Source organism: Homo sapiens, chromosome 11, assembly GCF_000001405.40.
Source record: "Homo sapiens chromosome 11, GRCh38.p14 Primary Assembly".
Classification (NCBI taxonomy): domain Eukaryota; kingdom Metazoa; phylum Chordata; class Mammalia; order Primates; family Hominidae; genus Homo; species Homo sapiens.
In genome coordinates, this window is record NC_000011.10 from 114,485,093 (window position 1) to 114,508,649 (window position 23,557).

The window sequence follows — 23,557 nt, forward strand, 5'->3', positions numbered from 1 at the left end:
GAGATATTTTGATATAGGCATACAATGTGTATTAAACACATCAGGGTAAAAGGGGTATCCATCATCTCAAACATTTATACTTCCCTTGTGTTATAAACAATTCAATTATATATTTCTAGTTATTTTTATTTTTTGAGACAGTCTCTTACTCTGTTGCCCAGGCTGGAGTGTAGTGGCACGATCTTGGCTCACTGCATCCTCCACCTCCCAGGTGGAAGCAATTCTCCTGCCTCAGCTTCCTGAGTAGCTGGGATTGCAGGTGCCTACCATCACGCCTGGCTAATTTTTGTCTTTTTTTTTTTTTTTTTTTTTTTTTAAGTAGAGACGGGGTTTCACCATGTTGGCCAGGCTGGTCTTGAACTCCTGACCTCAAGTGATCCTGCCACCTCGGCCTCCCAAAGTGTTGGGATTACAGGCGTGAACCACCACGCCTGGCCATTCTAGTTTTTAAATGTACAATACATTATTGTTGACTATAGTCACCCTGTTGTGCTATCAAATAATAAATCTTATTTATCCACTGTATTTTTGTACCCATTAATCATCCCCACTCCCCAAACACACTACCCTTCCCAGTGTCTGGTAACCATCCTTCTATCTCCATGAGTTCAATTGTTTTAAGTTTTTAGCTCCCACAAGTAAGTGAGAACACGTGAAGTTTTTCTTTCCGTGCCTGGCTTATTTCACTTAACATAATGACCTCCAGTTCCATCCCTGATGTTGCAAATGACAGGACCTCATTGTTTTTTACGGCTAAATAGTACTCCATTGTGTATATGTACTACATTTTCTTTATTCATTCATCTGTCGATGGACACTTAGGTTGATCCTAACTTTTGGCTATTGTGCTGCAATAAACATGAGAGTGCAGATATTTCTTTAATATACTGATTTCCATTTTTGGGGGTATATGCTTAGCAGTGGAATTGCTGGATTGTATGATAGTTCTATTTTTGTTTTTTTGAGGAACTACCAAACTGTTCTTCATAGTGGTTGTACTAATTTACATTCCCACCAACAGTGTACAAGGGTTCCTTTTTCTCCACATTCTCACCAGCATTTTTTATTGCCTGTGTTTTGGATAAAAGCCATTTTATTATAACTGGGGTAAGGTGATAGCTCACTGTAGTTTTGATTTGCATTTCTCTGATGATCAATAAGGTTGAGCATGTTTTCATATACCTGTTTGCCATTGGTATGTCTTCTTTGTAGAAATGTCAGTTCATATCTTTTGCCCATTTTTAAATTGGATTATTAGATATTTTCCTATAGAGACATTTGAGCTCCTTATATATTCTGGTTATTAATGCCTTGTCAGGTGAGTAGGTTGCAAATATTTTCTCCCATTCTGTGGGTTGTCTCTTCACTTTGTGGATTGTTTCCTTTGCTGTACAGAGGCTTTATAATTTGATATGATCCCATTTGTCCATTTTTGCTTGGTTGCCTGTGATTATGTATTATAGTCAAGAAATCCTTGACTACTCCAGTGTCCTGGAGAGTTTCCCCAATGTTTTCTTCTAGTAGTTTCATAGTTTGAGGTCTTAGATTTAAATGTTTAATCCATTTTGATTTGATGCTTGTTTATGGTGAGAGATAGGGGTTGTTTCATTTTTCTGCATATGGATATCCAGTTTTCCCAGCATCATTTATTGAAGAGACTGTCCTTTCCCCAATGTATATTCTTGGTACCTTTGTCAAAAATGAGTTCATTGTAGATGTATGGATTTGTTTCTGGGTTCTCTATTCTGTTCTATTGGTCTGTGTGTTTCTTGTTATGCCAGTACTATGCTGTCTTGTTTACAATACGTCTGTAGTATAGCTTGAAGTCAGGCAATGTGATTTCTCCAGTTCTGTTCTTTTTGCTCATGATAGCTTTGCTATTCTGGGTCTTCTTTGTGGTATTATGTACATTTTAGGATTTTTTTTTCTATTTCTGTGAAGAATATTATTGGTATTTTGATAGAAATTGCATTGAATCTGAAGATTGCTTTGGGCAGTATGGACATTTTAACAATATTGATTCTACCAGTCAATGAATATGGAATGTCTTTCCTTTTTGTATGAAAAAAGTTTCTTGCATCAGTGTTTTATAGTTTTCATTATAGAGAGCTTTCACTTCTTTGGTTAAATTTATTCCTAGGTATTTAATTTTATTTATAACTATTGTAAATTGAATTACTTCCTTGATTTCTTTTTCAGATTGTTTACTATTGGTATACAGAGATGCTACTGATTTTTGTATGTTGATTTTGTATCCTGCAAGTTTACTGAATTTTCGTATCAGTTCTAATAGTTATTTGGTGGAGTCTTTAGGTTTTTCCAAATACAAGCTCACATCATCTGCAAACAAGGATAATTTGACTTCTTCCTTTCTAATTGCTATAAAACTTCCTTTCCAGTTTGGATGCCTTTTATTTGTTTCTCTTGTCTGATTGCTCTAGCTAGGACTTCCCATCCTATGTTGGACAACAGTTGTAAAACTGGGCATACTTGTCTTGTTCCAGATCTTAGAGAAAAGGCTTTAAGTTTTCTCCATTCAGTATGATACTAGCTATGGGTCTGTGGCACATTACTTTTATTGTGTTGAGGTCTGTTCCTTCTATACCCAGTTTTTTTAAGGGTTTTTATCATGAAGGGATGTTGAATTTTATCAAATGCTTTTTCAGCATTAATTGAAGTGATCGTATGGTTTTTGTATGTGATATGATATATCACATTGATTTGCATATGTTGAGCCATCCTTGCGTCCCTGGGATAAATCCCACTTGGTTATGATGAATGATCATTTTAATGTGTTGTTGAATTCAGTTTGCTAGTATTTTGTTGAGGATTTTTGCATCAATGTTTATCAGTGATATTGACCTTTAGCTTTCCTTTTTTGATATATTATGATCTGGTTTTGGTGTCAGAGTAAAACAGCCTTCATAGAATGAGTTTGGAAGTATTCTAACCTCCTTTATTTTTTGGAATAGTATGAGTAAGATTGCTATTCATTCTTTAAACACTTGGGAGAATTCAGCAATGAAGCCATCAGGTCCTGGGCTTTTCTTTGCTGGGAGACTTTTTGTTATGGCTTCAATATTATTACTTGTGATTGGCCTATTTAGGTTTTGGATTTATTCATGACTTAATATTGGGAGGTTTTACGTGCCTAGGAATCTATCAGTTACTTCTAGGTTTTCCAATTTATTGGCATGTGGTTGCTCATAGTAGCCTCTAATGATCCTTTGCATTTGTGTAGTTTTGGTTTTAATGTCTCCTTTTTCCTCTTTATTTATTTAGGTCTTCTCTCTTTTTTTCTTAGTTGAGCTAAACGTTTGTCAATTTTGTTTATCTTTTGAAAACATCAACTTTCCTAGTTGGAAGTAAAGCACTCCTCAGCAAATGTAAAAGAACAGAAATTATAACTAACTGTCTCTCAGACCACAGTGCAATCAAACTAGAACTCAGGATTAAGAAACTCACTCAAAACTGCTCAACTACATGGAAACTGAACAGCCTGCTCCTGAATGACTACTGGATACATAACGAAATGAAGGCAGAAATAAAGATGTTCTTTGAAACCAATGAGAACAAAGACACAACATACCAGAATCTCTGGGACACATTCAAAGCAATGTGTAGAGGGAAATTTATAGCACTAAATGCCCACAAGAGAAAGCAGGAAAGATGAAAAATTGACACCCTAACATCACAATTAAAAGAACTAGAGAAGCAAGAGCAAACACATTCAAAAGCTAGCAGAAGGCAAGAAATAACTAAGATCAGAGCAGAACTGAAGGAGATAGAGACACAAAAAACCCTTCAAAAAATCAATGAATCCAGGAGCTGGTTTTTTGAAAAGATCAACAAAATTGATAGACCGCTAGCAAGACTAATAAAGAAGAAAAGAGAGAAGAATCAAATAGACGCAATAAAAAATGACAAAGGGGATATGACCACTGATCCTCCAGAAATACAAATTACCATCAGAGAATACTATAAACACCTCTATGCAAATAAACTAGAAAATCTAGAAGAAATGGATAAATTCCTCGACACATACACCCTCCCAAGACTAAACCAGGAAGAAGTTGAATCTCTGAATAGACCAATAACAGGCTCTGAAATTGAGGCAATAATTAATAGCTTACCAACCAAAAAAAGTCCGGGACCAGATGGATTCACAGCCGAATTCTACCAGAGGTACAAAGAGGAGCTGGTACCATTCCATCTGAAACTATTCCAATCAGTAGAAAACGGGAATCCTCCCTAACTCATTTTATGAGGCCAGCATCATCCTGATACCAAAGCCTGGCAGAGACACAACAAAAAAAGAGAATTTTAGACCAATATCCTTGATGAACATTGATGCAAAAATCTTCAATAAAATACTGGCAAACGGAATCCAGCAGCACATCAAAAAGCTTATCCACCATGATCAAGTGGGCTTCATCCCTGGGATGCAAGGCTGGTTCAACATATGCAAATCAATAAACGTAATCCAGCATATAAACAGAACCAAAGACAAAAACCACATGATTGTCTCAACAGATGCAGAAAAGGCCTTTGACAAAATTCAACAACGCTTCATGCTAGAAACTCTCACTAAATTAGGTATTGATGGGACATATCTCAAAATAATAAGAGCTATCTATGACAAACCCACAGCCAGTGTCATACTGAATGGACAAAAACTGGGAGCATTCCCTTTGAAAACTGGCACAAGACACGGATGCCCTCTCTCACCACTCCTATTCAACATAGGGTTGGAAGTTCTGGCCAGGGCAATCAGGCAGGAGAAGGGAAGAAAGGGCATTCAATTAGGAAAAGAGGAAGTCACATTGTCCCTGTTTGCAGATGACATGATTGTATATCTAGAAAACCCCGTCGTCTCAGCCCAAAATCTCCTCAAGCTGATAAGCAACTTCAGCAGTCTCAGGATACAAAATCAATGTGCAAAAATCACGAGCATTCTTATACACCAATAACAGACAAACAGAGAGCCAAATCATGAGTGAACTCCCATTCACAATTGCTTCAAAGAGAATAAAATACCTAGGAATCCAACTTACAAGGGACGTGAAGGACCTCTTCAAGAAGAACTACAAACCACTGCTCAATGAAATAAAAGAGGATACAATCAAATGGAAGAACATTCCATGCTCATGGGTAGGAAGAATCAATATCGTGAAAATGGCCATACTGCCCAAGATGATTTATGGATTCATTGGCCTCCCCATCAAGCTACCAATGACTTTCTTCACAGAATTGGAAAAAACTAAAGTTCATATGGAACCAAAAAAGAGCTCACATTGTCAAGTCAATCCTAAGCCAAAAGAACAAAGCTGGAGGCATCACGCTACCTGACTTAAAGCTATACTACAAGGCTACAGTAATCAAAACAGCATGGTACTGATACCAAAACAGAGATATAGACCAATGGAACAGAACAGAGACCTCAGAAATAATGCCGCATATCTACAACTATCTGATCTTTGACAAACCTGACAAAAACAAGCGATGGGGAAAGGATTCCCTATTTAATAAATGGTGCTGGGAAAACTGGCTAGCCATATGCAGAAAGCTGAAACTGGATGCCTTCCTTACACCTTATACAAAAATTAATTCAAGATGGATTAAAGACTTAAATGTTAGACCTAAAACCATAAAAACCCTAGAAGAAAACCTAGGCAGTACCATTCAGGCCATAGGCATGGGCAAGGACTTCATGTCTAAAACGCCAAAAGCAATGGCAACAAAAGCCAAAATGTACAAATGGGATCTAATTAAACTAAAGAGTTTCTGCGGCCGGGCGCGGTGGCTCACGCCTGTAATCCCAGCACTTTGGGAGGCCGAGGCGGGTGGATCATGAGGTCAGGAGATCGAGACCATCCTGGCTAACAAGGTGAAACCCCGTCTCTACTAAAAATACAAAAAATTAGCCGGGCGCGGTGGCGGGCGCCTGTAGTCCCAGCTACTTGGGAGGCTGAGACAGGAGAATGGCGTGAACCCGGGAAGCAGAGCTTGCAGTGAGCCGAGATTGCGCCACTGCAGTCCGCAGTCCGGCCTGGGCGACAGAGCGAGACTCCGTCTCAAAAAAAAAAAAAGAGTTTCTGCACAGCCAAAGAAACTACCATCAGAGTGAACAGGCAACCTACAGAATGGGAGAAAATTTTCGCAACCTACTCATCTGACGAAGGGCTAATATCCAGAATCTACAAAGAATTCAAACAAATTTACAAGAAAAAAACAACCCCATCAAAAAGTGGGCGAAGGATATGAACAGACACTTCTCAAATGAAGACATTTATGCAGCCAAAAACACATGAAAAAATGCTCATCATCACTGGCCATCAGAGAAATGCAAATCAAAACCACAATGAGATACCATCTCACACCAGTTAGAATGGCGATCATTAAAAAGTCAGGAAACAACAGGTGCTGGAGAGGATGTGGAGAAATAGGAACACTTTTACGTTGTTGGTGGGACTGTAAACTTGTTCCACCATTGTGGAAGTCAGTGTGGCGATTCCTCAGGGATCTAGAACTAGAAATACCATGTGACCCAGCCATCCCATTACTGGGTATATACCCAAAGGATTATAAATCATGCTGCTATAAAGACACATGCACACGTGTGTTTATTGAGGCACTAATCACAATAGCAAAGACTTGGAACCAACCCAAATGTCCAACAATGATAGACTGGATTAAGAAAATGTGGCACAGATACACCATGGAATACTATGCAGCCATAAAAAATGAAGAGTTCATGTCCTTTGTAGGGACATGGATGAAGCTGGAAACCATCATTCTGAGCAAACTATTGCAAGGACAAAAAACCAAACACCGCATATTCTCACTCATAGGTGGGAATTGAACAATGAGAACACATGGACACAGGAAGGGGAACATCACGCTCTGGGGACTGTTGTGTGGTCGGGGGAGGGGGGACGGATAGCATTAGGAGATATACCTAATGCTAAATGATGAGTTAATGGGTGCAGCACACCAACATGGCACATGTATACATATGTAACAAACCTGCACATTGTGCACATGTACCCTAAAATTTAAAGTATAATAATAATAAAATAAATAAAATAAAAACATCAACTTTCCATTTTGTTGATATTTTGTATTTTTTGTTTGAATTTTATTTCTGCTCTGATCTTTATTATTTAAGAGCATATTGTTTAATTTTCGTGTATTTGTATAGTTTCCAAAAATCCCTCTTGTTATCGATTTGTAGTTTTATTCCATTGTTTTCAGAAAGATACTTGATATAATTTCAGTTTTAAAAAAGTCTTTAAAGGCTTTTTTGTGGCCTAACATATGGTCCATCCTTGAGAATTATCCAGGTGCTGAGAAGAATGTGTTTTCTGTAGGCATTGGATGAAATGTTCTCTAAATATCTGTTAGGTCAACTTGATCTGTAGTGCAGATTAAGTCCAATGTTTCTTTTTCTTTTTTTTTTTTTTTGACACGGAGTCTTGCTCCATCGCCCAGGCTGGAGTGCAGTGGCACGATCTCGGCTCACTGCAAGCTCCGCGTCCTGGGTTCACGCCATTCTCCTGACTCAGCCTCCCAAGTAGCTGGGACTACAGGCACCCGCCAGCATGCCTGGCTAATTTTTTTGTATTTTTAGTAGAGACGGGGTTTCACAGTGTTAGCCAGGATGGTCTCAATTTCTTGACCTCGTGATCCGCCTGCCTTGGCCTCCCAAAGTGCTGGGATTACAGGCATGAGCCACTGCACCCAGCCTAAGTCCAATGTTTCTTTGTTGATTTTCTGTCTGGATGATCTGTCCAATGCTGAAATTGGGGTGTTAAATTTTCCAATTATTATTGTATTGGAGTTTTTGTTCTCTTTAGCTCTAATAATATTTGTTTTACATATCTGGGTGCTCCAATGTTGAGTACATATATATTCACAATTGTTATATCCTCTTTCTGAATTGACCATTTTATTATTATATAATGCCCTTCTTTGTCTCTTTTTATAGTTTTTGTCTTGAAATCTATTTTATTTGATATAAGTATAGCTACTCCTGCTATACTTAAAAACTTTTTTGGTTTCCATTAGCATGAAATGTCTTTTTCCATCCCTGTATTTTCAGTCTATGTATGTCTTATGGTGAAGTATGTTTCTTGTAGGCAACAGATTATTTTGTCTTTTTGTTTTTATCCTTTCAGCCACTCTGTTACTTTTGATTGAAGAGTTTAGTTCATTTACATTCAATGTTATTATTGATAAGCAAGGGCTTACTCCTGCCATTTTGTTATTTGTTTTCTGGTTACTTTCTGGTCTTCTCTTCCTTCTTTCCCGTCTTCATGTCTTCCTTTTAGTGAAGGTGATTTTCTCAGGTGGTATGTTTTAACTTCTTGCTTTTTATTTTGTGTAACTGTTGTATGTTTTTTGATTTGTTACTGTGAGGTTTTCAAATAATATCTTATAACCCATCATTTTGAACCGATGACAACTTAACACTGATTGTGCAAACAACAAAATAACAAGCCAAGAGTAAACTAATGTGAACACTACACTTTATCTTCTTGCTTTTTAACTTTTTGTTTTTATTTATACTGTATACTATGTCTTGAAAAGTTGTAGTTATTATTTTTTATTTGTTCATCATTTAGTCTTTCTACTCATGATATAGTTTATACACTACAATTACGGTGTTATAATATTCTGTATTTTTCTGTGTTTTTACTATTATTAATGAATACCTTCACATGATTTTATATTGCTCATTTACCCCCTTTTTTTTCCAGACTGAAGAACTCCCTTTATCATTTCTTATAGAAAAGGTCTGGTATTGATGAAATCCTTCAGCTTTTGTTTGGGAAAGTCTTAGTTTCTCCTTCATATTTGAAGGATTTTTTTGCTGGATATACTATTCTATGGTAAAAGTTTTTTCCTTCAGCACTGAATATGTTATGCCACTCACTCTTGGCCTGTAAGGTTTCCACTGAGAAGTCTGCTGCCAGACATATTAGAGCTCCATAATATGTTACTTGTTTCTTTTCTCTTGCTGCTTTTAGGATCATTTTTAAATCCTTGACCTTTGGGGGTTTGATTATTAAATGCGTTGAGGTCGTCTTCTTTGGATTAAATCTGCGTGATATCTTATATCCTTTTTGTACTTGAATATTGATATATTCCCTAGGTTTGGGAAGTTCTTTGTTGTTATCTCTTTGAATAAACTTTCTACCCCTATCTCGTTATCCACCTCCTCTTTAAGGCTAATACCTCTTAGATTTGCTCTTTTGAGACTCTAGATGTTGTAGGCTTACTTTCTTCTTTTTTATTCTTTTTTTTCTTTTGTCTCCCTGGCTGTGTATTTTCAAATAGCCTGTATTCAAACTCACTAATTCTTTCTTCTCCTTGATCATTTTGCTACTAAGAGACTATGATGCATTCTTCAATAGACCAATTGCCTTTTTCAGCTTCAGAATTTCTGCTAGATTCTTTTTAATTATTTCAATCTCTTTGTTCAATGTATCTGATATGATTCTGACTTTCTTCTCTGTTATCCTGGATTTTGTTGAGCTTCCTTAAAACAGCTGTTTTGAATTCTCTGTCTGAAAGGTCGCGTATCTCTTCCTCTCTGGGATTTGTTACTGGTGTATTTAGTTTATTTAGGAAGTTAATGTTTTCCTGAATGTTCTTGACGCATGTGGATGTTCTTCAGTGTCTGGGCATTGAAGAGTTAGGTATTTATTGTAGTCTTCATGGTCTGGGCTTGTGTGCACCTGTCCTTCTTGGGAAGGCTTTCCAGGTGCTCGGAGGGACTTGTGTGTTGTGATGTAAGTCTTTGGTCACTGCAACCATACTGGCTTTAGGGCACACCCTAAACCCAGTAATACTGTGGCTCTTGCAGACTCAGAGGTACCACCTTGGTGGTTTTGGGTGAGATCTGGGAGAATTCTCTGGATTGCCAGGCAGACATTTTTGTTCTCTTCCTTTACTTTCACCCAAGCGAACAAAAGTCTCTGTCTTTATGCTGAGTTGCCTGGAGCTGGGGGAGGAGTGACACAAGCACCTCTGTGGCCACCACCAGTGGGACGGTGCTGGATCAGACCTGAAACCAGCACAGCACTGGGTCTCACCCAAGGCCTGCAGTGACCACTGCCTGGCTACTGCCTATGTTCGCTCAAGGTTCAAGAGCTTCTACAGTCAGCAGGTGGGAAATCCAGCCAGGCTTACGTCCTTCCTCACAGGGCAGTGAGTTCTCTCTGGCTGCTGGTGGGTCCAGAGATGCCATTCAGGGGCCCGGGCCTATAGTTGAGAACCTTAGTGCTCTGTTCTACTGTGGCTGAACTGGACCCAAACCACAAGACAAAAGTTTTCTCCACTCTTTCCTCAAGCAGAAGGGTCTCTCCTCATGGCCGCCCCTACCCCAGGAGCCCACTTGGTGCTCTGCCCCACTGTAACCAAGTTGGTACCCAAGCTGCAAAACAAAGTCCCCTTTACTCTTCCTTCTTTCCTCAAGCAGAAGCAGTATCTTCCTATAGCCACCACAGCTGAGAATGTGCTGGGTCACACCTGCAGCCAGCATGGCTCTGAGTCTCACCCAAGGCCTGAAGTGAGTACTGCCTGACTACTATTAGCTTATTCAGGGCCTAAGGGCTCTTTAGTTAGTAGACGATGAATTTCACCAGGACTAGGTCTTTCACTTTAACGCAAGGGGTTCCCTTATTCCCCAGGGTGTGTTTAGAAATGTCTGGGAGCTGGGATCTGGACTGGGGGCTGTAGGATTCTGCCTGGTGCCCTATCCTACTGTGGCTCATCTGGTTTCCAAGTTGCAAGACAAAGTCCTCTTTACTTGTCTCTGTCCTCTCCTTGAGCGCAGGAAATAAGTCTCTCCTGGAGCTGCAAGCTGCACTGCTTGGGGTTGGGAGACAGATGACACAAGCACTCTCCTGGCCATAGCAGCTGGTATCTCACTTGGTCATGTGCACCCCAAGTCAGCTGACTCCAAGCCCAGCATAGCACCAGGACTTGCCCAGGAGTTGCAATCCCTTTGGCCTAGATTGCCTTTCAAATTAATTTAGGACCCCACCCCAGAGCTTTTTAGCCCATGGTGGTGGGTCTTGCTGGAACTCAGGTCCTTATTTCTGGGATGGACAACTTGCCTCTCATTAGGGCTGGTCTAAATGCTCCCTCTGTGGGTGCCAGCTGAGTTCTGTCCCATGTTGCTTTCCAGGGCAGGACTTAGTTTCAATGCTATGTCCCACAATCACTGTGCTCTCCCTTCCCAAGTGCACAGATTTTCCCTCTATGCCATGCCACTGCTGCTGGGGAAGGGGTGGCATAGGCAATTCAAGACTGTCTTTCCTACCCTCTTCAGTTTCTCTTTCCTTAATATGATGTTAAAACCAGGTACTGTGATATCCCTCATCTGATTTTTGGTTCTTTAGGTTCTTTATTGTATGGATAGTTGTTCAATTTGTTGTTTCTGCAGTGGGGAGGATCACAGGAGGCTTCCATTTGGCCATTTGGTTCCACCTCCTCAACATTTTGTTTTGTTTTGTTTTTTAATCATAGAAGTAGTTGTTATATATAATTGGTTCTGATTCTTGATTTTCTATCCCTATTACAATACCCAATTACTCTAATATGCGTGTCTTTATAGTACATTTTGATAGTCACCTGCTGTGTAATGTTTTGATGAACAACAGACCACATATATGATGGTGGTCTCTTAAGATTATAATGGAGCTGAAAAATTCCTATTGCCTAGTGATGTAGTAGCTGTCGTAACATTGTAGTGTAATGTTACTTACGTCTTTGTGCTGATGCTGGTGTAAACAAACCTGTGCTACCAGTCATATAAAAGTATAACATACACAATTATGTATAGTACATTATTGATAATGATAATAAACGATTATGTTACTGGTTTATGTATTTACTATATGATACTTTTTATTGTTATTTCAGAGTGTACTTTTTCTACTTATTAAAACAGCCTCAGGCAGGTCCTGCAGGAGGTATTCCAGAAGAGGGCGTTGTTATTATAGGAGATGACCCCCCCATGTTACTGCTGCTGTGCACCTCACTGTCAGACAGGATGTGAAGGTGGAAGACAGTGATATTGATGATCCTGACCCTGTGTAGGCCTAGAGTAATGTGTGTGTTTGTGTCTTAATTTTTAGCAAAATTTAAAAAGAAAAATAATTTAAAATTAGAAGAAAGCTTATAAAGATATAAAGAAAAAAGTGTTTTCGTACAGCAAGTGCAAATGTTTATAAACTTTATAATAGTGTGTATAATGTCCTAGGCCTTCGCATTTACTCACCACTCACTGACTCAGTCAGAGCAACTTCCAGTCCTGCAAGCTCCATTTATGGTAAGTACCCTATACAGGTGTACCATTGTTTATCTTTTATACTATATTTTAACCGTACTTTTTCTATGTTTAGATATGTTTAAATACACAAATATTTATCATTGTGTTACAGTTGCCTACAGTATTCAATACGATAAATGCTGTACAGGTTTGTAGCCTAGGAGCAATAGGCAATATCATATAGCCTAGGTGTGTGGTAGGCTATGCCATCTAGGTTTGTGTAAGAACACTCTTGTACAACAACAACATTGCTTGATGCATTTCTCAGAATATATCCTTGTTATTAAGCAATGCATAACTGTATTTGGTAAAATACAGAGATATTCCACATATTTTATTATGCTATTAAGCATCGTTTAAAATAATTTATGTCAGTTATAACTTGTTTATTCTTTCACATGAACATTGAAATCATTGAGTTTACTTCTTAAGCATTTCATTGGTATCTTCATTTAAATTGCCTTATGTTTATGTTATAAAACATACTAATAAACAGGTTTTCTTTTTTGGGCCTCAGTGAAGTTTGGTAGTTTTCATTATATAAGATGTTTTGCATTTCTTGTTAGGATGTTTCTTATGTATTGCATGTTTCTGATTATTGTTAAAGATGGAACTTTTTTCCTGTTAAATTTCTTAAGTGATTACTGTTGAGATCTATGTATATCTATTTTCTGTATCGATGTCAATATCTATATCTATATTGCTGATTTTTGTATCTTCTTAAACTAATTATCTTACTGACTTCTACTAGTACATTTTCATTTTGTTTACTCTGGTTTTTCCGTATAGAGAAGAATCACTTGAAAATAGAGACACATTTATCCCCATTTAACAATAATTTATTGTATATTTTAAAATAACTGAACAAATGGAATTGGAATGTTTCTAACACAAAAAAATGATAAATACTTGAGGTGATAGAGATCCCAATTATCCTGATTTGATCATTAGACATTGTATGCTTGTATCAGTATATCACATGTACTACATAAATGTGTGTAACTATTATGTATCTGTAATAATTAATAAAAAACCATCAATTAAAAAATTATTGTCCTTCATTACATTGGCTATAACTTACAGAAAAATGCAAAAGAGTAATGAGCACACTGCTCTTCTTCCTGAATTTAATGAGAGTGCACTCTGTATTTTATCATTAACCATAATATTGGCTATCAATATGCAATAACTATTCTCTATTAGATTAAGGAAGTTTTCTTCTATTTTCAGGCAGCTTTTGTATTTATTTTAATATTGCTTTCATTTTAATTATTTTTAATCTTTGCAATTATTGAAATAATTATTTTTAATCTTCAGAGGTATTGATGTGACTAATTAATTGACTGGTGTTTTTAACATGCTAGTGGATTAGCATGTTATTTATATTAATAGTGAGATTAGTTTGTGATTTCCTTTTTTGTGCTGTATTTATGTGTGGGCTTTGGTATTAGAGTATTGGTGGTTTGAGAAAATGAATTGGAAGTGTGCCATCTTTTTCTCTGCTCTGGAACAATTTAAATTGCATGTTAATTGTCTTTCCTTGAAGCTTCAATAGGACTCACTTGTAAAATTGTCTGGATATGATACAGCTTTTGGAGTTATTTCTTAGGCAAAAATTTCAACTTCTCCCATGGTTATTGATATCCAGATGAACTGTTTTCTCAAGTCATTTAAGTTTATGTGTTTTTAGAAAATCACACGTCTCATCCTTATTTTCAGGATTTTTAGCTTAGATTACTGTGTTTAAATTTCTTACACCATTATAACATACTTCTATATCTGTGAATAAAGCCTAATTCTTGCTTTTAATGTTTTGAATGTGTTTTCTGTTGTTTAAATCTGCAAGAGGCTTGTCCATTTTATTGATATTTGCAAAGACATTAGCTCTTGGATGTATTTATCAAATCTATTTTTATTTTCTAATAATTTCTCTTGATCTCTTAGGTTTTTCTCATCTTGTTTTTTGCCATTTTTAAAATTCATTTTCATTTTCTATTTTTAAAAATGAATATATTTAAGGCTATAAAATTTCTTCTGAAAATATTTGTCTCCATATCAATTTTGATTTGTAGATTTTGCTGCATTTATAGATTTAATAGCCTGTAACTGCATTTTTAAGCTTTTGTAACAAGTATAATTTACAAGCAAGAAAATACGTATCTTAAGGGTACAATTAGATGAATTTTTTAATGAAGTAAAATTTATACAGAGTGAAATGCACATATGTTAATTGTGCAGTTTGGTGAGTTTTGACAAATACGTATGTCTGTGTAACCAACACACCACCCAAGACACAGAACGCTTTCACTACCCCAAATGTTCTCTCATGTCACCTTCCAGTCAGTTCCAACTCCTCATGGACAATTGCTGCTGATTTCTGTCCCTACTGATTCATTTCATTGATTGTTGGGCTTTGTGTATATGAAATCTTACAGTATGTGCTCTTTTGTGTCTGGCTTCTTTCCCTCAGCAAAGTGATTTTGAGGTTAATCCATTGTGTTGCTTATATCAGCAGTTCATTCTTTTTTTTTTTTAATTGCTGAGTAGCATTCCATGGTATGACTATACCACAATTTGTTATCCTGTCTCTAGATGAACTTTTGGGTTGTTTCCAGTTTTTTGGCTATTATGCATAAAGTTGCTATAGGAATTCCTTTAAAAATCTTTCTGTGGACATGTTTTTATTTTTTGGGGGTGCATATTTAGTGGAATTTCTGGGCCAAGGGGTATGGTTAATTTTATCAGAAACTGACAAACTGTTTTCTAGTCTTTGTACCATATATATATTCCATACAGAAATGCATGAGACTTCCAGTTATTCCACATCAGTATTAATAATTGATATTGTCAGTCTTTTAAGTTTTAGCAACTTTATTGGGTACAAAGTAGCATATCATGTGTTTTTAATTTGTATTTGCTTGATGGATAATGATATTGAACATCTTTTTGCGTACTTATTGGCCATTCATATACTTTTGTATGATGAAAGGTTAGTTCAGTCCTTTTGTTCAGACAACCCATTAAAAAAATGGGTTGTCTGTTTTCTTTGTTATTTGAGTTGTAAGTGTTCTCCACATATTCTGGATATAAGTTGTCAGATTTACGTATTGTAATATTTTCTTCTAGTCTGTGATTTATCTTTTTTACAGTGTCTTTTGAAGAATAGAAGATCTTAGTTTTAATGCAGTTCATTTTTATCACTTTTTCTTCTATGGTTATTGCTTTTTGTGTTTTACTTAAGAAATCCTTACTTACCTAAATATTGTAAATTTGTTTTCTTCTTGCAGCTTTATAGTTTTGTGCTTGATCCCATCATTCATCCCAAATTAATTTTTATATTTGGTATGAAGTGGTATGAATTGGTATGAAGGAGAGGTCAGGGTTCATTATTTTTTCTCCCATTTGGATATCCAGTTGTTCCAACACCATTTGTAGAAAAGACTGTCCATTCCTTATGGAATTATTTTGGTGACTTTGTTGAAAATCAGTTGAGTGTGTTTTGTGGGTCTTTTTCTGGACTTTCTATTCTGTTTCTATACTTGCAGTTTGAAGCTTCTGTATTTGATACTCTCTTTGACCCCTGAATTATTTAGGAATATGCTGACATCTTTAACGACAACTCTAACTTATGACACAGAAAACCATTATTTTAGGGCCATGTCAGCAATGACGCCAAATAGTTATTCACCTGGGTAGGAATGTCCATCCTTTAAAGTAGTTCTGAAACCTAGCAGTATACTTGGGGAGTTTTTTTAAAACAATGCAGATTTTGGAACGCCACCCCAGACCTAATTTTCACTGTAGAAACTGGATAGTTTCTGTTTTTAGAAAGCTCTTCCAGGTGATTCTGAGACATCCAGTCAATTTGGAAGCCATTGCTCTAAGCACTACCCCTTACAGCAAAAAGCTGTTACTCTCTAAGCCCTCAGTGGATTCAAAGCTTTTCATTATTTCAGTGTACAGAATCAACCCTCAAGAAAGGGGAAGAGATAATTAGCCTGTTTTTCTCTCAAGCATTGAAATCACCACAAATCTCAGGTTATCTTTGAATGACCTTTTGACTTGAGAGAATATAATATTTATGGTTATTGTAGTATATTTAAGGTATTTTACAAGTTACAAAAACCATTGAATTCTGAATGACTGTTCTGCTGTTCAAATATAGTGACTTAAAAATTCATGGAGGAATCTTTGGGACTATGAAAGTCAGTGTCTTACTTATTTCAGGGCTAATGGATCAGAAAAGCTCCAAGAAGGCCAAGAGAGCTGTCAAATGAAGTGCACTGTAGCTCAAGATCAGAGAGAAGGGCTTTGGAGGTAAGAAGGGCTTTGGAAGAGACTTAGTATCTCAACGTATCAGTGAGAACATTAGAATGAATGCTGGTACTTTTTCCTGAGACAGAGAACAATAAAAGAAGTCCAGGGTTTGGCTGGAAAGAACATGAACTTGATGTGGGACATTTTGCTTTGGGAAATCTCTGTGCTGTCAAAAGTAGGTGCCAAGTAGTCCCTTGTGAAAAATCTTCTTTCACATTATTTGTCTAAGACAGTGTTTCCTAACCATTGCACTATTGACATTTTGGGCTGAAAAACTCTTTGTTGTGGGAAGCTGTCTTGTGCATTGTAACACGTTTAGCAGCATCTCTGGTCTCTACCCACTAAATGCCAGTTAGCACTCCTCCTAACTGTGACACATACAAGTGTCACATACTTGACACATACAAGAAATATGTGACCATTTTATATCTCTTGGGTGTTCTGTACTGTGCCTAGGTGTAGATTTACTTCTCTTTATGCTGCCTGGGACTCATTGGGAGTCTTAATCTAAGTATTCACATATTTCTTCTAGAAAATTCTTAATTATCTTTTCAAATTCTTCACTCCCCCCACAAAAGGCTCATTCTAGACTTTCTCATTATATACTTCATGTCTCTAGCCTTATTTTTATATTTCCATCCTCTTTGCACTATATTCTGAGTAATTTATTCAGGTCTATCTTCAGTTTCACTGTTTCTGTCTTCATCTTTGTCTAATGTGCTGTTTGACCCATCCACAGAATTTATAAGATTAGGGACTTTCTAAGATTATGAGACTTTATAATATTACTGTTATTTGCTATTTTAATGACTATATTTTTCATATCTGGAAGTATACTTTTGCCAACCTGTGTGATGTTTTTTCTAGTTTCTTCTTTCACATATATTTGATTCTATTTTGTAATTTTAAATGCTTATAGTTTTCCATGATGACTCTCATATGAATTCCTTGGAGATCTAATTCCATGAAATCCTTCTATTTTTGCTTATGGCAGATGGTTTTCTTGTGTAATTCTAGATTGTGATCTTATGATTGGTAGGACATTACCTATGAAAAACCTGTGTGGTTTGGCTTTTGTGTGAGAATTCAGAAAGAGTTTGATTTGTTTCTTTTAAGTTTCCCTGGGAGAATTATTATCCCCAGCTTGCTTACTTATTTATTTACTCTTTTAGCCACTGGGAGTGGCTAGGAGTGGAAAAGCAGTGAATACTGAGTCACAGTGGAGAAATGTGTCTTCAAGTCTCCCAGATAAAGTGGTCTTGGCACCTATGATTGGGCCTGAAAGATCACACATAGGATTTTGGCTAGGAGCTGCACTCCTCAGAGGTTAGATACCTTTTTTTTTTTTCATAAGAAATTGAGCAGGCCAAGAAAAAAGCTTCAGATGCTGCTATTTGGGGGTGTAAGTCCTGATGAATAGACCTGTTTGCCACCTTATCACTGCACAGTGAGATTGCCCTATTAATCAGTCCCATCCATATACATAGAGCATCCAGGTGGCTTTTTAAGTGAATATCATAATGGTATGAGGAGATGGCTAAGGATTTCAGGTATTTGATAAACATTTCCTGTGTGAAAGAGAAACCGAATAGTCACACAGATAAAAGGAACCTAGAAGAGACGGAGACAATTTCAAGAATAAAATAAAACTTTAAATAAAATGCGTATTAGTAATAAAATGAATATATTCATAGAAATCAGGGAAAATGTTGTATCCAGGAAACAACTGAATTCTGTGAAAAAGAACATTCAGAGAACAAGTAGGATCTTTTTAAGATGAAAAAAGTTGATGACTAAAAAAAAACCATGAATAGAAGTGCCAAAAGATATGTCAAGATAATTTTGCAGAAAATATAGCAAAAATATAAAGAGGTATAAAGTTTAAAAATTAAGAAGCTTAGAAGATAAATCCAAGAGATACGATATTGAAGTATCAGGAATTACGGAAGAAGAGAATAGAGAAATTGGCAGGGAGGCCGTTATCAAGGAAATAATAATACAATATCTCTGAAATTAAGAACACTGCTCTCTAGTTTGAAAAGGTCCATAGTGTATCCAATACAATAAATGAAAAAGTCCCTACTGTCAGACCTGATCTCTGCAGGGTAGTCTTGCACATCAGACAGGGCTGGTCTAACCTGAGCACTCTTTGGTCTACTGGCCTCTCCCATGGCCCCAGCCTGGCCTTGCCTGCTTACAGGGCAGTCTTGGGGGGCTCTGGAGGCCCACACCATAGCTTCTGTGCCTGTGGACTGTGCCTGACCAGTGGAAAGCTCCAGAGAGGTGGCCTCTATGGCCACACATCAGCCTGCAAGTTTCCCCCCTATACTGCAGCTTCCCCTGAGCCCACGGCAACTGCCCACATCACTTCATTGATGTGTGTCTGCAGGGGTGGGTTTTGCTTCATTTGCCCTGCCAGTAGCAGTGCAGTATGCAACCCCCCAACCCCCAGTGATGGCTGTTGCAGACAAATCTTTGGCCAGCACAGAGCCAGGAAGCCCCACCTAGCCAGAGCCCCACCCTTGCACAAATCCTGTACTGAAAACAGGGGATCCTCCTATACCCTGAGTGATCACTCCTGCTTATGGGGCACAGAGAAGGCATCCAGACCTGTGCCACCCCAAGCCAATGCCACCTCCAGTGCAACAGCACACACAGTCTCCAGCAGGGCCCCCCCACACCCTCACCAACTGCCTTGCCTCTATCGCTGTGGTGAACGCCCACCAGGGAAGCAGGTACCCCCACATTCTCTAGCACTATGCTGTTGCTGCCACACCCTGGCACCCCCAGCACAGTGGACTCCAAACCTTGAGGAGCTAGAGAACAAAGTCAGGCCCAGTACAAGTCCCCTACATTAGAACATGCACTCCAGGAGTTGGGAGCTGAGTGTTGGCCCCCTAAAATCTCCCAGAAATGAAGCCAGCTGGCTTAATATGCTTTATATCACAATCAGACCCTCAAAATCATCAAATAGGACAAAGGAAAAAAATTCAAAGATTGAAGGTAGATAAGCCCACAAAGATGAGAAATAATCAGCGCAAGGAATGCTGAAAACTCAACAAGCTCGAGTGCCTTCTTTCCTCCAAAGGATAGCATCATCTCTCTAGCAAGAGTTTGAAACCCAGCTGAGGCTGAGATGGCTGAAATGACAGAAGTAGAATTTAGTATATGGACAGGTATGAAGTTCAATGAACTACAGGAGTATGTTGTAACCCAATACAAGGAAGCTAAAAATTATGATAAAGCATTGCAGGAACTGACACACAAAATAGCCAGTATACAGAAGAATGTAGCTGTCCTGATAGAACTGAAAAACACACTATAAGAATTTCATAATGCAAGTATTAATAGCAGAATAGACCAAGCAGAGGAAACACTCAGAGCTTGAAGACTGGCTTTCTGAAATAAGACAGGCAGACAAGAATAGAGAGAAAAAAAAAGGAATGAACAAAACCTCTGATAAATGTGGGATTATGTAAAGAGACTGAATCTACAACTGATTGGTGTACCTGAAAGAAATGGGGAGAATGGAACCCACTTGGAAAACGTATTTCAGGATATCAGCCATGAGAACTTCCCCAACCTAGCTAGAGAGGCCAACATTCAAATTCGGGAAATGCAGAGAACCCCAGTAAAATACTTCACAAAAAGATTATCCCCAAGACATATGATCATCAGATTCTCCAAGGTCAAAATGACAGAAAAAATGTTAAAGGCAGCCAGAGAGAAAGGCCAGGTCATATACAAAGGGAAGCCCATCAGATGAACAGCAGACCTCTCAGCTGAAACCCTACAAGCCAGAGGAGATTGAGGGTCAATATTCAAAATTTCTTAAAGAAAAGAAATTCCAACCTAGAATTTCATATCTAGCCAAACTAAGCTTCATAAGTAAAGGAGAAATGAGATCCTTTTCAGACAAGCAAATGCTGAGGGAATTTCTTACCACCAGATCTGCCTTACAAGAGCTCCTGAAGGAAGCAATATGGAAAGGAAAGACTGTTACCAGCCACTAAAAAACACACTGAAGTACACAGAGCAGTGACACTATAAAGCTACCATATAAACAAGTCTGTGAAATAACCAGCCAACATCATGATGACAGAATTACATCCCCATATACCAATAATAACCTTGAATGTAAATGGGCTAAATGCCCCATTTAAAAGACACAAAATGGCAAGCTGGGTAAAGAACAAAGATTTATTGGTATGCTGTCTTCAAGAGATCCATCTCACATGCAATGACACACATAGGCTCAAAATAAAGAAATGGAGAAAAATCTACCAAGCAAATGGAAAACAGAAAAAAAGCAGGGGTTGCAGTCCTAGTTTCTAACAAAACAGACTTTAAACCAAGAAATATTAAAAAAAAAAAAAAAAAAGAAGTTAAAAAGTTCAAATGGTAAAGAGTTCAATTCAACAAGAAGATCTAGCCAACTTAAATACATATACACCCAACACAGGAGCACCCAGATTCATAAAGCAAGTTTTTAGAGACCTTCAAAGAGACTTAGACTCTCATGCAATAACTGTCAGAGACTTTAATGCCCCACTGACAGTATTAGACAGATCATTAAGACAGAAAATTAACAAAGGTATTCAGGAACTGAACTCAGCACTGGATCAAATAGACCTGATAGATATTTATGTAACTCTCCACCCAGAAACAACAGAATATATATTATTTTCATTGCCACATGGCACATACTTTTAAATCGATCACATAATTGGAAGTAAAACACTCCTCAGCAAATGCAAAAGAACTGAAATCATGAAAGACAGACTCTTGGACCACATCACAATCAAATTAGAAATCAAGACTAAGAAATTCACCCACAACTATACAATTACATGGAAATTGAATAACCTGCTACTGAATGGCTTTTGGGTAAATAATGAAATTAAGGCAGAAATCAAGAAGTTCTTTGAAACTAATGAGGACAAAGATATCACATACCAGAATCTCTGGGACACAGCTAAGGCAGTGTCAAGAGGGAAATTAATAACACTAAACACCCATATCAAAAAGTTAGATAGGTCTCAAATTAACAACCTAACATCACAACTAAAAGAATTAGAGAACCAGAAGCAAACAAATCCCAAAGCTAGCAGAAGGCAAGAAATAACCAAAATCAGAGCTGAACTGAAGGAGATTGAGACACAAAAAAACCCTGCAAAAGATCAACAAATCCAGGAGCTGGTTTTTTGAAAAAATTAATAAAATAGACCACTAGCTAGACTAAGAAAAAAGAAAAGATTCAAATAAACACAATCAGAAATGACAAGGGGAATATTACCACTGACCCATAAGAAATACAAACGATGACCACAGAATATTATAAACACCTCTATGTACATAAACTAGAAAATCTAAAAGAAATGGATAAATTCCTGGACACATACACACTCCCAAGACTGAACCAGGAAAAAATTGAATCCCTGAACAGACCAGTAACAAGCTCTGAAATTGAGGCAGTGATAATAGCCTGCCAACCAACCAAAAAAAAAAAAAAAAAAGCAGCTCAGGAGCAGACAGATTCATCGGTGAATTCTACCAGATGTACAAACAAGAGCTGGTACCATTCCTACTGAAACTACTCCAACAAATTGAGGAGGAGGGACTCCTCCCTCATTCTATGAGGCCAGCTTCATACTGATACCAAAACCTGGTAGAGAGACAACAACAATAAAAAAATAAGACTTCAGGCTGATATTCTTGATGAACATCGATGCAAAAATCTTGAACAAAATACTTGCAAATCAAATACAGCAGCACATCAAAAAGCTTATCCACCATGATTAAGTAGGCTTTATCCCTGGGATGCAAGGTTAGTTCAACATACACAAATCAATAAATGTGATTGATTCATCACATAAAAGAGATAAAGACAAAAACCACATGATTATCTCAATAAATATGGAAAAGGCTTTTTGTAAAATTCAACATCCATTCATGTTAAAAACTCTCAGCAAACTAGATATTGAAGGAACATACCTCAAAATAAGAGCCATATATGACAAACCCATAGCCAACATCATACTGAATGGGCAAAAGCTGGAAGCATTCCCCTTGAAAACCAACACAAGACAAGGATGCCCTCTCTCGCCACTCCTATTCAACATAGTATTGGAAGTCCTGGCCAGGGCAATCAGGCAAGAGAAATAAATAAAGGCATCCAAATAGAAAGGGAGGAAGTCATACTATCCCTGTTTGCAGACAATATGATGCTATATCTAGAAAACCCCATAGCCTCAGCCCAAAAGCTTCTTAAGCTGTTAAAAGAACTTCAGCAAAGTCTCAGGTTACAAAATCAATGTGCAAAAAATCACTAGCATTCCTACACAGCAACAACAGTCAAGCCAAGAGCCAAAACAGGTACAAACTCCTATTCACAACTGCCACAAAAAGAATAAAATACCTACGAATACACCTAACTAGGGAGGTGAAAGATCTCTATAAGGAGAACTACAAAACACTGCTCAAAGAAATCAGAGCTGACACAAACAAATGGGAAAACATTTCATGCTCATGTATAGGAAGAGTCAATATTGTTAAATGGCCATACTGCCCAAAGCAATTTATAGATTCAATACTATTCCTATTCAACTACCATTGAGATTCTTCACAGAACTAGAAAAAACTATTTTAAAATTTGTATGAAACCAAAAGTGAGCCTGAATAGCCAAGGCAATCCTAAGCAAAAAGAACAAACTGGAGGCATCATGCTACCTGACTGCAAACTATACTACAGGGCTACAGTAACCAAAACAGCAAGGTATTGGTATAAGAACATACACAGAGACCAATGCCACAGAATAGAGAACTCAGAAATAAGACCGCATACCTACAACCATCTGATCTTTGACAAGTCTGACAGAAACAAGTAATGGAGAAAGGATT

General features: G+C 37.5%; 1 protein-coding gene across 2 annotated transcripts in view; it reads left to right on the forward strand.

The window, feature by feature from the left end:
* The window catches only part of NXPE2 (neurexophilin and PC-esterase domain family member 2), a 349,427-nt gene that overhangs the window by 20,817 nt on the left and 305,053 nt on the right, over positions 1 to 23,557 (forward strand). The window contains exon 1 of one of the 2 annotated variants that reach the window (XM_017017207.2): positions 14,388 to 16,657. The exons of the other annotated variant lie outside the window; for it this stretch is intronic. The gene's annotated coding sequence lies outside the window, so the exon portion shown is untranslated. Of the gene's footprint in view, positions 1 to 14,387; positions 16,658 to 23,557 lie in introns of those variants that run through there. 2 annotated transcript variants of the gene reach the window in all.